Genomic DNA, 18,428 nt, shown 5'->3' with positions numbered 1-18,428 from the left:
CTGAGGCACGAGAATTGCTTGAACCTGGGAGGCGGAGGCTGCAGTGAGCTGAGCTCAAGCCACTGAACTCCAGCTTGGGTGACAGAGGAAGAGTCTGTCTCAAGAAAGAAAAAAAAAAGCAAACTAAATAACCTATAATAACAAATCAGAGAACTCAGGTTACCAAATTTTAAGGGGTTCTATAAGTTTATATGAAATGCAGCATCCTCATGAGAGGGGATACAGAGAACCACTGGGCAGAAAACTGTGTCTAAAATACATCTGTGGATACACAGTCCCTTTATAGTTGACAAAGGCTGCCATGTAGTTTAAGGTGGAATAGAATATTTTCTCAACAAATAACACAGGACCATAGGGTTACACGTAGGAAAAAATAAATCTAAACTTATCCTCACACTATAAAGACACTTCTTATTTTTTATCTTGTTGTTGTAAACTTTTTATGCTTTATTTTTAAGATTGACAAATAAAAATTATATACTGTGGTCCTTCACTATTCCTGGGTGATTGGTTCCAGGATCCCCATTCAGATACCAAAATCTGCAGATGCTCAAGCCCCTTGCATGAAATGGCATAGCGAAGCTGGGCACCGTGGCTCACGCCTGTAATCCCAGCACTTTGGGAGGCTGAGTTGGGTAGATCACGAGGTCAGGAGTTCAAGACCAGCTGGTCCAACATTCTGAAACCCCGTCTCTACTAAAAATACACACACAAAAAAATTTATCTGTGCATGGTGGCACGTGCCTGTAATCCTAGGGGAGGCTACTGGGGAGGCTGAGGGAAGACAATCGCTTGAACCTGGGAGGCGGAGGTTGCAGTGAGCTGAGATCATGCCACTGCACTCCAGCCTGGGTGAGAGAGTGAGACTGTCTCAAAAAAAAAAAAAAAATAGCATAGCAATTGCATAGAACCCATGCACATCCTCCTGTATACATGAAATCATCCCTTGATTACTTATAATTCCTGACACAGCCTACACGCCACTCAATTTGTGTCGATTCAACATAGTTTTTTGCTTCTTGAAACTTCGGGGATTTTTTTCTGAAAATATTTTTGATTTATTGTTGGTTCAATAAACACCTGTAAACCCCACAGATATGGAGGACCGACTGTATATTTATATTATGAAAGATGATATGTTGATATGTGTCCCCGTGGAGATGAGACTAACAAGGCCTATGACTCTACAAATGTTTCATCGTGGAATGACTCTGCCAGCTTTCCAGGTCTGCAGAGAGTAAGAATATCACTTGTTCATGTGATTCACGATCCTTGGAGCCTCCTATGTGCTGTATCTTTGGATGGAAATTGGAGTCTCAGAGACAAATCAGGCTCCATTCTGCTTCCAGAAGCTCAGAGTCCAGGGCTGAGAACCCAATGGAGAACAGATGGGGTTATGTGGACATGGTAATGATAACACCGGAAGCCTTAGGCAAGAAAAGAGTCTCGTTACCGAAACCATGAGGGCAGACATGTTTATTTGAAGGCGGGAAAACTACATTGAAATTATTTAAAAAATTTATAAGTTTTACTGCTGGCAGAAGGCTGAAAGATAGTCTGAAGGGAGGTGGAACAGCACGTGTCTAAGTGCTGTGTTAAGAGGCAGCCTCTTGTATGTTTGGAATTGTGAGTTCCTCAGTGTGATTGCAGCCTCAGGTAGACTAGGAAGTAAGCCAGTTAGGTTGGAGAGGTGGGCAGGGGTCAAGTGAAATGGAGAATTGTGGGCTAAGCAAAGGAGTGTGTTTTCTCTCCAGCAGGCAGTGGGGACCTTAGACATTTGTAAGCAAGAGAGAGGCATGTTCAGATTCGTGGTGTGAGGAAGAGCGATGCCCTAAGATGAAGACTGATGCCTTCAGATTCCAGCTGCTGGTACATGGGAGCTGGCAACCCGGTTTTGAGACAGGGCTGTTGTCTCCCTAGAAGATCCCCTCAAGGCCTGACTGTGGTGCTCGTGGACAGAAGACAACTTTGGATCTGGGCTCAGCATTTGGAAGTTCTATGTACATGCTGGTATCTGTTGGGGGTGTCTTGGGCCTCTCAGAAGGGCGAGTGATTTTTCTCTGTGTGAAAACACAGTGATCCAATTATGCGTATGACACCTCCTGATGGTCTTGTTCATCAGAATCCTGGAGAGAGGGAAATGCTGAGTGAGGGAGGGTGCTCACATTTTTCAGGACTCTTTGGGAATAAGACTAGCCACGAGGCTGGGCGGAGGAGCACCTACCTCGCTGTTCACTGTTCTGTTCCCTGCAGGCTCTTGGTCCATTACAGCAGCATCTGTAGAAGACGGAAGTCAACAAAAGAGCTCGGAGGGCACTTCTGGGTCCTCATTTCATAAGCAGATACCAACAAACAGGGGGAGGCCATAGGTGCCTGAGGTCCCTCAGTTGCCAACAGCAGACTCAGACATTCTATCTCTCTGAGTTCAAGGACCCATCCCATGAATAGCTCTGAGGTCCCATCCCATTGATTCTATCTCCCACTTTCTGCCTGTCATGGAACCTTCTCCTGGATGTGAGTGGCTGCAGGGGACGTGAGGATACAGTTCAGAATCAGGCAATGGTCTGTGAGCTGAAGGCAGGGGAAGGGAATCTGGTGCTCTCTCTAGAAAGTCCTGCCTCTGTGGCTCCTGTCTTGGGCCAGGGACCATCCTGCTGGTGAGGAACACACATCCGCGTGCTCCCATCCTGCTTCCCCACATGGCCCTGAGCTCTCTGGCCTCTGCTTCGTGAGACTTACTTTTTTTGTCGGAGCACCAGCGATGAAGGAGAAAGAAGAGGAGGATGGTGAAAGGGATTTTGACCACTGAGGTCCCAATCAGAACATGTAGGTGTCTGGGGTTACCTGGAAGAAGAGGAGACACCAATAAGAAGCTAATCATAGCAGTTCCTCTTTATGAATTGTCTCGCATTTCTTGATTGGCAGGTAACCACATACAACGTCTCTTTAGGACAAGCACCCAAATGGCGGGAGACCTAGCTTTCCCCTGCTTTCTCAATTATAGCTCTCATAGTAACCATAGAACGTGCTGAGGATACAACTACTTTAGTTGAGATGTTTGACCCTTTCAAACCTCACATTGAAATTTCACCCCCATTGTGGGAGGTTGGGCCTCTTCAGAGGTGTTTGGGTCATGGAGGTGGATCCATCATGAACAGATCAATGCTGTCCCAAGGAGACGGGGTTAGCAAGTTCCCCCTCTGTTAGTTCCTGGAGAGCTGGTTGTTAAAAAGAGCTTGGAAGCTCCATCGCTCCCTCTCCCCCTTACTCTCTCTCTTGCCGTGTGATCTCTGCGGTCTCTGCACAGACAGACCCTCCTTCCCTTCTGCCAGAGTGGGAGCAGCCTGAGGCCGTCACGAGAAATAGATTCTGGTGCCATGCTTCCAGTACAGCCTGCAGAACTGTGAGGCAAACCAATCTCTTTTCTTTAGAAGTTACCCAGGCTCAAGTGTTCCTTTAGAGCAACAAAAATGGACTAAGATAGCAACATCCTGAGATCAGGAGGAATGTCTCAGAACAGCCTGGGCTGTCTTCCTGTTCTTCCTGGAGGAGGACGTCATGCAGTGCTTTAGCTGAGTGCTTCCTGTGGCTCCAGGGTACAAAACCCAGGCTGGGCTGCTTTCTGGCTTCCCGCAGCTACACTGCAAATGGGGTGACTCCATATGTCCCGAGCAGCTTTTCTGAGCCTTGAGGGACTGGCTCACATTGAAATGCAGGCTTCTGTTGTCACTCGCTGCTTATCTGTTAGTAATGAACCTGCCTATGTAACGTATTCTCTGTGTGTTCTGTCTCCCTGGAGTGACGGTGAGTGATAGGAATTGGCATAGGCCCAGGTGCAGTCCAGGATTTGTTTAGAGTCTTCTCTGGGAAGACTGCACTGGGATTGATACACAGCGAATGTGCTTTAGGATTTCTACATCCACAGCATTCTTGAGTCAAACAAATTGCATTCACCAAGGAAAGGAAACAAAGGTGAAATCACGATTAAAAATAGCGAAGCAAGATTCTCTTATGTCAAACAGCCAGGAAATAGTGTTGAAGCCCGTGTGAAATGTGCTACTCTTTGTGATCTCGGGAGACACATGTTAGGCTGCTGTTCTACCCGAGAGGCTGGGGGAAGGACCACCCCCTCGACCATCTATTGCTTCAATACCACCTGTCCTCCTGTGAATTAGTAGGAAAGGGGAACAGGAGCTAGTGCTGTCGCTGATCTCTGATTCCAAGATCTGGACTCACTCCAAGGAGTATTAATGTTTCCTCCCCATGGTCTATCTGAATCTCCACAGGTGATTGGAAGTAGGGGTGAGGTGGGGGATTTGGGTGAGTGGGCAAGTTTTTTTTTGCGATGACCAGAGCACTTTCTCTATTCCAGGATCCGTGCTGGAGGATTCAGCGGGCTTTCACATTTTCTATGTGATCTCATGCTCACAGAAAGCCAAATAGGGAAGAGGTTTTAGGCTCATTGCCTAATGGATAAGATAAAGGATCAAAGAAGTAATTATAGAGAAATAGAAAAATGATGATTGGAATTCAGGTGCCTTTGTCATTCGTGTGTGTTTTATTATATTTATGCATTTCTTATTTTTATTTTTTGAGACGGAGTCTCCTTGTGTCACCCAGGCTGGAGTGCAGTGATGCAATCTCCACTCACTGCAACCTCCACCTCCTGGGTTGAAGTCATTCTCCTGCTTCATCCTCCAGAGTAGGAGCTGGGATTACAGGGATGCACCACCATGCTCGGCTAATTTTTGTATTTTTAGTACAGATAGGGTTTCACCATGTTGGCCAGGCTGGTCTGGAACTCCTGACTTCATGGAATCCACCCGCCTTGGCCTCCTGCAGGGCTGGGTTACAAGCATGAGCCACCGTTCACAGACTTGTATATTATGCTATAATAGGTCCCTTCATTTCCACCACCCCTCATATATCTGTCACTCCTTTGCCAGGTATTGATTTATGTGTAGGATGAATAAATCTCAGAAAGAAATTAATTAAGCGAGGATTAAACAAGTAGGAAAATCAAACCCAGCAAGCCTTTCCAGCCAATGATTCTACCTCACAAGCATATCTTATATCCATCTACTTCATTCATTTAGTGTCTAAATCAGCACCACATTTCACCAGTGGGGCGGCAATTGCCTTTTCCACAGTCTCCTAGATTCCAGTTACGCACCTGGGCCTCCCTTATTTTCTTGTCAGTCACTATTAATCATGTAGGGATTCCTGGTTACCCCGAGGTGAATCCAATGGCTGTGAGTGTCAAACACACACTCCTTGTTCCTCCTTAGTTTCCTGTGTACCCAGAGTGCTCTCCATCTCTCTACAGTCATCTTGTCATTCTCCCCACCTCATTCCCAGCATTTCAGGCAGAGCCTCTTCCTTCAACATCAGATTGTTTTCACCTTTGTGCCTTCACAGCTGACAGCTGTGTGTGGAAAATCCTTCCGCCAATCTTTCAGGGGTTCAATCCGTGTTTTTCATTAATGTCACAAATATCTGATTAGTGAGACCTTCTCTGTCACCCAAAATTATACACTCAGCATTATCTATTATTTATTTTGAATTCTGGCTGGGCAAAGTGGCTCACGCCTGTAATCCCAGTACTTTGGGTTGCTGAGATGGTCGGATCACTTGAGGTTGGGAGTTTCAGACAAGCTTGGCCAACATGGTGAAACATCCTCTCTACAAAAAATATACAAAAAGAATTAGCCGGGCATGGTGGCAGTTGCCTGTAATCCCAGCTACTCGAGAGGGTGAGGCAGGAGAATCACTTGGATCCAGGAGACGCAGGTTGCAGTGAGCCAAGATCGTGACACTGCACTGTAGCCTGGAAGACAGAGGGAGACTCTGTCTCAATAAACAAACGAACGAACAAACAAATAGATTTCATGCACAGATGCTTCCCAATGGATCATTCATTTATTGGTCCACTTGTGCATTCATTTTCTGTCCTCCCATTTAACCATCTGCAATATCAGTGTCCCAAGAGCAGAGGCCAAATGCATCTTGTTCACCATTTGTGGAAGGCAGGAGAATGCTGTCCCACCCCAAAATGTCCCTGTCCTAGCCTCCATAGCTTGTGAATATGTTATTTTACATGGAAAGGAGGAATGAAGATTGCAGATGGAATTATGGTTGCTAATCAGCTGAACTTAAAACAAGGGTATCCTGAATGATTTCCGGGAGATTATGACGGATTTTCATCTTGGTGAACCCAATAGAATCCCCAAGTTTTCAAAAGATGAGGAAGAAGGGAGAGCAGCATTCAGAGAAAGAGGTGTGGTAAGGAAGAAGGGTCTGAGTGATGCCATGTGAGATGTGACCAGTCTTTGTGGGTTTTGAGGAAGGAGGAAAGGGACCAGCAGCCAAGGAACTGGGAGCCTTTATAAGATGGGACAAGTGAGAAGCAGATTCTTGCCTGGAATCCTCAGAGGGAAGGCAGGCTTGCTGTCATCTTGATTTTAGCCCAGTGAGATGCACTTCATGCTTTGAGCTAGAGCACTGTAAGATAATTAAATAACCGTTTTGTTTTCACCCACGAATCTTGTGGAAATTTGTTATGGCAACAATAGGAAAAGCTTCCACACTGCACAACCTGAGCATGGGGCCGTGGCTGAATAAGTCAGTGAGTCAAAGTGTGCGTGCATGAGCTCTGTTCTCTGTTACGGCAAGGCTCTTGCTCTGCTGAGTCAGCCAGGGTTGTTTCATGACCAACAGGAGCTCATTCCTTGGCAAGTGGAACTTCTCTAAAACACCTCGCCCTCATCAGATGTTCGCTTCCCTTCCCTCTCTCAAGCCCCCAGGAATTTATCCTCCAGTTAGGAATGCAAGCAGAACAAACATTGCGTTTTTCCTGAGAAGGATGTCAGATTGGCAATCATTCTTCTAGCTTGTAGGAGGTCTCAGCTCCATAAAATGAGAGATGAAGAGATTTCACTGAGCCCTGTGTTGGGCCCAGATCCCTTTCGCTGTTGGAGTATCTGGAGTTCGGAGATGGTAGAAGACAGGCGTACAATGTCAGAGCTGTGAGATGCTGAGTCAACGCCTGAATCCAAGGTTTCCACCTCCCCAGGGTTCCAAAAGCGGATATAAGAGGGTCCTGTACTCACCGGTTTTGGAGCTTGGTTCAGTGGGTGAAGGCCAACTATTTGAAGGGTTTCCTAGAACATGAGACAGGAGAGAGGTGAGGAAATGAGGGTGTCTGTCCTCTACTCAGTGGAAATCTTTGAGTTTGGTTCATGGCCAACACTCTGTTATCTAACATTGGGCCCTGGGAGTCCAGGGATCCTTTCTTCCATAATTTTTGTATGTGACGCCCACTGTCTTGAGACTTCAAGGTATAAAGAGAAAACAGGAGCATCACACTACCTGATCTCAAAATATGTTACAGAGCTGTAGTAAGCAAAACAGCATGATGTTGGCATGAAGAAAGGCACATAGAACAACGGAGCAGAATGAAGAACACAGATATAATCCATGCATTTACATCCAATTTTTTTTATTTTTTCTTTTGAGATGGAGTCTCGCTCTGTCACCCAGGCTGGAGTGCAGAGGTGCAATCTCGGTTCACTGCAACCTCAGCCTCCTGGGTTCAATCAATTCTCTTGCCTCAAACTCCTGAGTAGTAGTATTACAGGTGCTGACCACCATGCTCAGCTAATTTTTATATTTTTAGTGGAGACGAGGTTTCATCACGTCGGCCAGAGTAATCTTGTACTCCTGTCCTCAGGTGATCCACCAGCCTTGGCCTCCCAAAGTGCTGAAGTTGCTGGTGTTAGCCACCATGCCCAGCCCATCCAATGGACTTTGACAAAGGTGCCAAGAACTCACAATCAGGAAAGGACAGTTTTTTCAATAAACAGTGCAGGGAAACCTGGACATCTACATGCAGAGGAATGAAACTGCACCTCTACCTGTCACCATACACAAAAATCAAATGAAAGTGGATTAAAGATGTGAGTCTAAGGCCTGAACCTGTGAAACACGTAGAAGAAAATATTGGGGAAATGCTCCAGTACATTTGTCTGAAGGAAGACATTTTGTTTTAAACCTTCAAAACACAAGTAATCGAAGCAAAAATAGACCATTGGGATTACCTCAAACTAAGCAACTTCTGCACCGCTAAAAATAAACCAACAAAGTGAAGAGACAACCCACAGATTGGGAGCAAATATGTGCAAACTATGCATCTGAGACGGGATTAATAACTAGAAGTATAAGAAGCTCAAACAACTCAATAAAACAAATGATTTAATTGAAAAAGGAGCAAAAGACATGAAATTTCCCCACATACGAAAAAGTGCTCAGTATCACTCATCATCAGAGAAACGCGAATTAAAATCAAAGTGAGTTTTCATCTCACCCCATTAAAATGGCTTTTAGGCCGGGCGAGGTGGCTCACGTCTGTCATCCTAGAACTCTGAGAGCCCGAGGTGGGCGAATCTCATAAGGTCGGGAGTTTGAGACCAGTCTGACCCACATGGAGAAACGCTGTCTCTACTAAAAATACAAAAATTAGTCGGGCGTGGTGGCGTGTGCCTGTAATTCCAGCTACTCGGGAGGCTGAGGCAGGAGAATCGCTTGAACCTGGGAGGTGGAGGTTGCGGTGAGCCGAGATCGCACCACTGCACTCCAGCCTGGGTGACAAGAGCGAAACTCCATCTCAAAATAAAATGAAATAAAATAAAATGGCTTTTAGCTGCAAGACAGGCAAAACAAATGCTGGCAAGGTGGTAGAGAAAGGAGAACCCTGGTACCCTGTTGGTAGGAGTGTAAATTAGTACAGCCATTACGGAGAAAAGTATGGAAGTCCTTTAAAGAACTAAAAAGAGGTTGGATGAAGTGGATCATGCCTGTAATCCCGGCACTTTGGGAGACCGAGGCGGGCACCTCAGTTGAGGTCATGAGTTTGAGAGCAGCCTAGCCAACCTGGGGAAACCCCATGTACACTAAAAAAAACCAAAAAGTATCCCGGCATGGTGGCGTGCACCTGTAATCCCAGCTACTAGGGAGGCTGAGGCAGGAAAATCATTTGAACCCAGGAGGCGGAGGTTGCAATGAGCCAAGATCACATCACTTGTACTCCAGCCTGGGCACAGAGGGAAACTGTCTCAAAAACAAAAACAAAACAACAAACGAAAAACTAAAAAGAGAACTTTCATAGTATCCAGCAATTTCACTACTGGGTTTATATCCAAAGGAAAGTAAATCAATGTATCGAAGTGATATCTGCACTCGTATGATTGGTGCAGCACTCTTCACAGTAGCCAAGATGTGGAGTCAACCTACCTGCCCATCAGTGGATGAATGGATAGAGAGAATGTAGTACATACGCACAGCGGAGACTACTCATCCATAGAAAGAATAACATCCTGATATTTGCAGCCACATGGATGGAACTGGAAGTCATTACAAATATTCTCATTTCTCACCCATATACAGGAGCTAAAAGGTGGATCTCATGAAGATAGAGAGTAGAATGGTGGCTACCAGAGGCCAGGAAGAAAAGGGTGGAGGATAAAACAAACAAACAAAAAATTTATATGTATGTATTTATGACCACTAGACCTTACACTTAAAATTGGTAAACGTGGCCGGGCGCGGTGGCTCATGCCTGTAATCCCAGCACTTTGGGAGCCTGAGGCGGGTGGATCACGTGGTCAGGAGTTCCAGAGCAGCTCGACCAACATGGTGAAACCCCCTCTCTACTAAAAATACAAAAAGTAGCCCGGCGTGGTGATGGGCGCCTGTAGTACCAGCTACTCAGGTGGCTGAGGCAGGAGAATCGCTTGAACCCAGGAGGCGGAGGTTACAGTGAGCTGAGATTGTGCCACTGCATTCCAGCATAGGAGACAGAGCTAGACTCCACCTCAAAAAAAAAAAAATGTTAAAAGTGGTAAGCTATATAGGTATATTTAACCTCAATGAATATTTTTTCAAACAAAAAGAAAAGGATGTAGGGGTTGCTGGTGATGACATCTCTGTGTGGGTGAGAGGCCAGGAAGGGCTTCTGGGAAATGGGTAAGGTTGAGGGGCTGAGGGAACCTCTGATCTCCCCAAACTGAGCCCAGTCTCCCCTTCTCTGGGTCTCTCCTGACCGCTTTCTACATCTGCCTGGGTTTCTGGAGCCCTAATCGGAGGCCTCCATGCAGGCCATGCAGGAGGGTTTGGAGGTGCTGTGTGTGCCATCCTGCGCCCTGATCCCTCCCTCACAGGCATGCTGCGTCTTCTCTCTGCATCTGTCCATGCTTCTCTCCATCATCAGCAGGAAGCTCCTCAGCTAAGGCTCTAGGATCATAGGACATGGGACAGATATGGGGTTTCCTCACCTGTGACGGAAACAAGCAGTGGATCACTCGAGTTTGACCACTCGTAGGGAGCGTCACGGAAAGAGCCGAAGCATCTGTAGGTCCCTCCGTGGGTGGCAGGGCCCAGAGGAAAGTCGGCCTGGAATGTTCCGTTGATGCTGCGCACTGCAGGGAGCCTACGTTCATGGGCCTCCCCTTCCCTGGATAGATGGAGCTGCAGGACAAGGTCACATTCTCTCCTGCCTGAACCGTGGGGCCCGGCTGGGCTGAGAGAGAAGGTTTCTCATATAGACCTGGAAGGAGAAGGGGCAGTTTCCTCAGGGGGGATCTTCCTTGTCACAGCTCCCCTCACACCTGACCTGAGAACTCACTCCCCTGCTCTATGGCCTAATGCTCTCTTTCTCTGTCTCACCCTCCACCCTATCTCTCTTCATGTCTATTTCCTCCTTCCACCTTCTCTGTCTCTGTAGGTCTCTGACCTCACTTCCCTACCTCTAGTTATGTTTTCCGTTTTTGGATTGTTTTATTCTCTCTGGCTCTCCTTGGATTGGTTGACTTGATGTTACTTTTTTTAACTCTGAGTTTCTCAGTTTGTGTCCCGTTCATAACTTTCTGCATATTTCTATCTATTATCTATCAATCCATCTATTTATCTATTCGGTGCCTATCTACAAATTCTCTACCTGTCATCTATATCTATATATCATCTATTTATCTATCAATTGTCTATCCGTCAATCATCTATTATCTATATATATGTATCATCTCTCTCTCTCTATTATTTCTCTCTTTGTCTTCCTCTCTATCTCTATGTATTATCTATCCATCTATCTTCATCATCATCATCTCTATGTATCATCTATTAATGAATCAATCAATCATCATCTATGTATCTATAACCTATTATCTATCATCTACCTATATATCATCTATCTATATCTATCCATCATCTATCTGTATCTATCCATCTATCATCTGTCTTGCTCTGCCTCTCGGTCTCTCTAGTTCTCTTTGGAATCTCTGCAATTCATCCCCACATCTCCATCTTTCTATGCCCTTGTGCCTCGCCCTCAGGACTCTAATTTTAGTGGTTTTCTCTGCTCTCTTCCATCATTCTCTCCACTTCTCTGCCCTCTTCTCTCTCTTTATGTGTCTGTGAGTCTCTCAATCTCCTTCCTCTGGCTCTTTCTCTGTGTGTTTATGTCTTTGCTTTTTGGTGTCCCTGATTTCTCTCTGTGCTTCTCAGTGATCCTCTCATATGTGATATGTGGGGTTATTTGGAATGTGAGCCTCAGAATCCAGTCTGGAGACCACAAGTTCACACAGCATACAGGGGTTGGTGTTCTGGGGCCATGATATTTTGGGACGATTATTCTCCATTGCATGGAAGTCAGAGGTGTCAGAATAAGCATGGCATCTGTAGGTGCCACAAGGCCTGAGGCCACAGGGCCCAACTCAGGTCAGAAATATGGGTGTCCTTGGGTTCTCCTGGTAGAGAACACTTTGTGGAGGTAAAACAGAAATGAAACTTCTAACCTGTGCCAGGTCTCTGAGCAAAGTCAGCATGGAAGGACACCTCTGTCTGGGACATGTCTGTCTGTCTCCTTTAACTCTTTCTGTCTTTTCTAACTCCCTGTATGGCCCCTGTGTTTGTCCTCTGTTATGACACCTGGTCTGTACTTGTGTCTCTTGTTTCTCTGTCTCTGTTGGCACAGACCTCACCAAGTCAGTCTCTCTCCATAAGAATACCAAGCTCATCTTCCTTACAACCACCTGGGTCTCCAAGTCCTGGATCATTCACTCTGCATCCCAATGACAATGAGAAGAATGTCTGGACACTCTCACCTATGATCACCATGTCCAGAGGGTCACTGGGAGCTGACAACTGATAGGGGGAGTGAGGAACAGAACCGTAGCATCTGTAGGTTCCTGCAAGGACAGGCATCATGGGACCAATGGAGAAGTTGGCCTTGGAAACCCCATCATGGTGCTCTCCAATGAGGTGCAAAGTGTTGTTAAACTTCCCCTCTCTGTGCAGAAGGAAGTGCTCAAACATGACATCCGACCAACATTGCAGGATGACTGTCTCTTCTGATTTCACCAGGTGACCTGGGAGGGCCAGGAAGGAAGGTTTTCTGTGGACTCCTAGGAAGAGAGGTTGTGAGTTTAGAAGGTGTCTCTCTTTATCATCCCATCCATGGCACCTGGAATGAGTGAGCCTTCCCTTCGCTGGTGTCTGTCTCTCTGCTTCCTCTCTGTGTCTTCATGTTCTTTTCTGTGCCCATAACTCCTGGTGCAGGTCCTTCCATCTGTCTCCCTCCCTCTTCTCTGTCCCTCTGTCTCTAGTAGCTGTGATTCCCTTCCCACTGGGCTCAGCCTCATCTCTTGGGCTGTTGTATCTATTTCACACTAATGTCTTTCTTACTGTCTATGTGGGAGTGGAAGAGGAAGCAGGATAGGCTGCACGTCCCGGCTCTTAGCAGCTTGGTTCAATCTCTTTTGGACGAATTGGAATCCTTGGCAGGAGGTATGAACTGATCAGTAAGGCAGGCACCAGTGTCCACACACCCTGTTCCTGGTGGGGACTGGGAGCCACTCTTGCCATGTCTGTGCCTTCTCCATGGTGCCAGTTTCCATAGGCTGGCTCCTCGTGCTGATTTGAGGAGTATCAACCCCTCCCTATGTGGATGGAGCCTGGTGGTGGCATCATCATCCCACCCTTGCTGATCTCGGTGTAGCCAACCTTCTCTTTGTTTGGTTTCTTTAATTAATTAATTAATTTTGGAGACAGAGTCTCACTCCTTCACCCAGGCTGGAGTGAAGTGGTGTGGTCTACGCTCACTGCAACCTCTGTCTCCTGGGTTCAAGCGATTCTCCTGCTCTCAGCCTCCCGAGTCGCTAGGATTACATGCACCTGCCACCATGCCTGGCTATCCTTGTGTCTTTTCTTAACTTGTCCTTGACCTGGGTTCCAGTGTTGGTTTCCTGTTGCTGCTGTAGAAAATTATCAGAAGCATGGCAGCAGGAGAGAGCACACTGACCCCCTCCGATTCTGGAGACAGAAAGCGGACCCTGTTTTTCGAGGGCTAAAATCAAGGCATCTGCAGGGCTGTGTTCCCTCTGGAGACTCAGGAGAATCAGTTACTTGACTTTCCCAGCCTCTATAGGCCACCTGCATTCATGGCTTATGGCCTTCATCCACCTTCAAAGCTGATGGAGTCTCCCACTACGCTGCTCTAATCCCCACTCTCCTCTTCCTCCTCCTTTCATGTGGACACTTGTGATTATACTGAGCCCACCGGGACAGTCCAGGCTGTCTCCCCATCTCAAGGTCAACTCATCAACAACCTGAGCTCCATCTTCCCCTTCAGTCCCTTCCCCTATAACATAAATAGTCACAGACTCCAGGGATTAGAATGCAGTCATCACTGGGGACACTTATTCTTCCCACCACAGCACCCATTTCCCTGTATTCAATCCCCCTTTACCCCAAATACAGTTAGGGCCTGCGTGATGGGACCCTCAAGGACATGCCTACCAGAAGCTCTGGGATTCAGGAGGTGGGACAAGGAGAATCCCAGACAGGAGCCCTCTGACCTGTGACCACGATCACCAGGGGGTTGCTGGGTGCCGACCACCCACTGGGGGAGTGTGTGTGTGAACCCCGGCATGTATAGGTCCCTGCATGTGACGTGGTCACAGGGCCCATGAAAAGGCTTTTCCAGAATATTCTGTTGTACAGCTCAGGGACAGGCACCCCATCATCCTTGTACAGACTGAAGTTGTTAAACCCAAGATTAGAGTGACACTGAAGAGTCACATGTTCTGGAGGCACCACAAGGCTGGGCCAGGTAGAAAGCAAGGGCTTGTCCTGACCACCTTGGGGTGAAGGAGGCGCCGCCTTAGAGAGGAGGATGTGGAGCTGTGCCTCCCTCCCTGTGCTCAGAAGATTCTCCCCACTTTCCACATTTCTATGGCTGCTATCACACCTTGGTGCCTAGGGCTAAAGGAAGGACCCATCCCACAAAGACAAGGTGTCTCCGTACAACAAAAGTGTCAGCTGAGAACTTTGAGCAAGTGCTGAGTAAGAGACTCCTACTAGATTTTAATACTGTAAGATTACTGACATAAAACAACACAGGGTAGACATGAAGTGGAGGGCATGTCCTTTGAGAATGGAATATCAGCAGTTGCCTGAATGAAAATAAAAAACTTAGCCCCCATCAGAGGATTTGGAATGTCAGGGCCATGGCTGTGGTTTCCCACCTCTTCTGGTAGAATGACAGCAGCCACACTGCAGCCCCTACCGTCATGGAAACGCTGAAGTGTGTGAGTAACACCTTTGTCCTCAGAGGATCTGCTGTTCCTACCACTTCCCCACCACACAACCCAGCTTTGAACACCCTAGTCCAACCCTGGTCCCCACACAACTTGACTCTGCCAAGGGGTTGAGAGGCCAGGGAGGCAAGGTCGGAACTGTGGGCCGAGCACCCCAGGGTCCCCTCTTCCTAGTTTATGAGAGACTCCCTGACAGGACTTCCCTCCCGTTTCAGGAAAATCCTCTTATGTGGGGAGATGACACCCTAAGGTTTGGAGAAGGACTTACCCTCCTGTGGCCAGGCCCCCTGCAGCAAGAAGAACCCTGGAAAGAAAGATCATGATGGAAGATCCATTTGCAGGCAAACAAGGCCTTCCTTGCTGCCCCCACTGGGCTGTGAGTCTTGATAGCCAGCCCCTTCCTGGGCCGAAGGGAAACTCACCATCAGAGCCTACCTGCACCCAAGAACAGTGCTCTCGGCTGTGCAGAGACCCAGCCTCCAGGCCCATATCCCCACCCCAAGCCCATATCTCCACTCCAGGCCCATATCTCCACTCCAGGCCGATATTTCCACCCTAGACCCATATAGCCAATCCGGGCCCACATCTCCAATCCAGGCTCAGATCTCCACCCTCGGCCCATATCTCCAATCCAGGCCCATATCTCCACTCCAGGCCCATATCTCCACTCCAGTCCCATATCTCCTCTCCAGTCCCATATCTCCACTCCAGGCCCATATCTCCACCCCAGGCCCAGATCTCCACCTCCAGGCCCATAACTACACTCCAGGATCATATCTCCACTCCAAGCCCATATCTCCACATCAGGCCCATATCTCCACTCCAGTCCCATATCTCCACACCCAGGCCCATATCTCCATTCCAGGCCCATATCCCCATCCTAGGCCCATATCTCCACCGTAGGCCCAGATCTCCACTCCAGGCCCATATCTCCACTCCAGGGCCATATCTCCACTCCAGGCCCATATCTACACACCAGGCCCATATCTCCACCCCATGCCCATGTCTCCACTCCAGATCCATATCTCCACCCCACGCCCATATCTCCACTCCAGGCCCATATCTCCAACCCACGCCCATATCTCCACCTCCAGGCACATATCTCCACCCCACGCCCGTATCTCCACTCCAGTCCCATATCTCCACTCCCGGCCCATGTCTCCACCCCATGCCTATATCTCCACTCCAGTCCCATATCTCCACTCCAGGCCCATATCTCCACTCCAGACCCATATCTCCACTCGGCCCATGTCTACACTCCAGGCCCATATCACCACCTCCAGGCCCATATCTCCACTCCAGGCCCATATCTCCACCTCCAGGCCCGTATCTCCACTCCAGACCCATATGTCCACTCCAGGCCCATATCTCCACTCCAGGCCCATATCTCCACTCCAGGGCCATATCTCCACTCCAGGCTCATATCTCCACTCCAGGCCCATATCTCCACTCCAGGGCCATATCTCCACTCCAGGCTCATATCTCCACTCCAGGCCCATATCTCCACTCCAGGGCCATATCTCCACTCCAGGCCCAGATCTCCACCTCCAGGCCCGTATCTCCACTCTAGTCCCATATCTCCACTCCAGGCCCATATCTCCACCTCCAGGCCCATAACTTCACTCCAGGCCCATAACTCCACTCCAGGCCCATATCTCCACCTCCAGGCCCATATCTCCACTCCAGGGCCATATCTCCACTCCAGGCTCATATCTCCACTCCAGGCCCATATCTCCACTCCAGGGCCATATCTCCACTCCAGGCCCAGATCTCCACCTCCAGGCCCCTATCTCCACTCTAGTCCCATATCTCCACTCCAGGCCCATATCTCCACCTCCAGGCCCATAACTTCACTCCAGGCCCATAACTCCACTCCAGGCCCATATCTCCACCTCCAGGCCCATATCTCCACTGCAGACCCATATCTCCACTCCAGGCCCATATCTCCACTCCAGGCCCAGATCTCCACTCCAGGCCCAGATCTCCACTCCAGGCCCAGATCTCCACCTCCAGGCCCCTATCTCCACTCTAGTCCCATATCTCCACTCCAGGCCCATATCTCCACCTCCAGGCCCATAACTTCACTCCAGGCCCATAACTCCACTGCAGACCCATATCTCCACTCCAGGCCCATATCTCCACTCCAGGACCATATCTCCACTCCAGGCTCATATCTCCACTCCAGGCCCGTATCTCCACCTCCAGGCCCATAACTTCACTCCAGGCCCATAACTCCACTCCAGGCCCATATCTCCACTCCAGTCCCATATCTCCACTCCAGTCCCATATCTCCACCCTAGGCTCCTACCTCCCCTCCAGGTTCCTATCTCTCCTCCAGGTTCCTCTCTCCACTCCAGGTTCCTATCCCCACTCCAGGCCCATATCTCCACTCCAGGCCCAGATCTTCACTCCAGGCCCAGATCTCCACTCCAGGCGCAGATCTCCACTTCTAGGCTCATCACTCCATCTCTAGGCCCAGATCTCCACTCCAGGCCCATAACTCCACCTCCAGGCCCATATCTCCACCTCTGGGCCCAGATCTCCATCCCCACGCTCCCTCCCTCTATTCCCTTCCAGGACTCACCAACACACGCCATGATGATGACCATGAGCGACATGGTGCTGCCGGTGCAGACAGGCGGCCGCGCCCCAGCTCAGCTCAGCAGCGCACAGGATGTTATTTGGCGCCCTGCCCATGCAGTTTACATGTTGACCACATCATGGGAGGGTGACGTACGCAGGCTTTTTCTACCTTGCATGAGGCCCAGTGGGTGCTCGCTCAAGAGCAGAACATGGCTTCCTGGAAATTGCTCTCACTAGAATTGACACCTCGCGTCCTTCACTATGACCAACTCAAAACATGTCTTAGATCCAACCTCCCAAACATGAGATGCCTAAAATCTGTGCTAACATGAAAGACTTTTCATGAATTTTTATTGTTTTTATCTGAGATTCGAACTCTTCTTCCTGTGTAATATGCAAAATATCTAATAGGTATTATTAGTGTTTTCAGAGTCATTGTGACTAATAAACCATTAGAATTGTTCATGCTTGTATTTCTAGTATTACAGCAGAACCAGTTCAAATGATTTAAATTCCCAGGGAAGGATTATGCAATTATTTACAATCTTAGAATTGTACTTTATCAGCAAAAACCACACATGTAAATTCTGGATTTTTGTAGTTTTATCTATAATTTGTCTCATGACTCAAGATTCCAGAGTCCCAACTCTGGAGTTTGCTCTCTCTCTGTCTCTCTGCCTCCCTCATTTTAAATTTTACAGAAATATCCAGTAACATAATGCTATAGAAAATCAAGTTTCCCCCAGCAGGTCGGGAAGCCGAGGTGGGCGGATCAACTGAGATGAGGAGATTGAGAGCAGCCTGGCCAACACAGTGAAACCGCGTCTCTGCTAAAAATTCAAAAATTAGCCATGCCTGGTGGCAGGCACCTGAAACGCCAGCTACTCAAGAGACTGAGGCACGAGAATCGCCTGAACCTGGGAGGCGGAAGTTGCAGTGAGCTGAGATTGCTCCACTACAGTCCCGCCTGGGCGACAGAGCAAGACTCCGCCTCAAGAAAAAAAAATAGCAAGTAGCCTATAATAACAAATTAGAGGGCTCTGGCTACTAAATTTAAAGGGTTTTATAAGGCTACATGAAGTGCAGCATCCTCAAGAGTGTGGACACAGAGAGCCCCTTAGCAGAAACAGTGTCTAAAATACATCCGTGTACACACAGTCCCTTTAGAGTTGACAAAGGCTGCCGTGTGGTTTAAGGTGG

General features: G+C 48.1%; 1 protein-coding gene across 2 annotated transcripts; it reads right to left on the bottom strand.

Moving 5' to 3' along the window:
- Nucleotides 1,453-17,321, bottom strand: KIR2DS4 (killer cell immunoglobulin like receptor, two Ig domains and short cytoplasmic tail 4 (gene/pseudogene)). 2 transcript variants are annotated; one of them, NM_001281971.2, is made up of 8 exons: nucleotides 17,230-17,321; nucleotides 14,914-14,949; nucleotides 12,153-12,452; nucleotides 10,329-10,600; nucleotides 7,110-7,160; nucleotides 2,740-2,844; nucleotides 2,225-2,277; nucleotides 1,453-2,126 (listed from the first exon to the last, which is right to left on the bottom strand). In NM_001281971.2, exons 1-6 carry the CDS (start codon nucleotides 17,261-17,263, stop codon nucleotides 2,818-2,820), a joined length of 720 nt encoding a protein of 239 aa, NP_001268900.1. In that variant the 5' UTR covers nucleotides 17,264-17,321; the 3' UTR covers nucleotides 1,453-2,126; nucleotides 2,225-2,277; nucleotides 2,740-2,817. The 2 variants fall into 2 exon arrangements, with proteins under 2 accessions (NP_001268900.1, NP_001268901.1); NM_001281972.2 differs by lacking the exon at nucleotides 7,110-7,160.

This window comes from Homo sapiens, chromosome 19 (assembly GCF_000001405.40).
Source record: "Homo sapiens chromosome 19, GRCh38.p14 Primary Assembly".
Taxonomy (NCBI): Eukaryota; Metazoa; Chordata; class Mammalia; order Primates; family Hominidae; genus Homo; species Homo sapiens.
The sequence above is the reverse complement of the archived record's forward strand: the minus strand, read 5'-3'. Positions and strand labels throughout refer to the sequence as shown.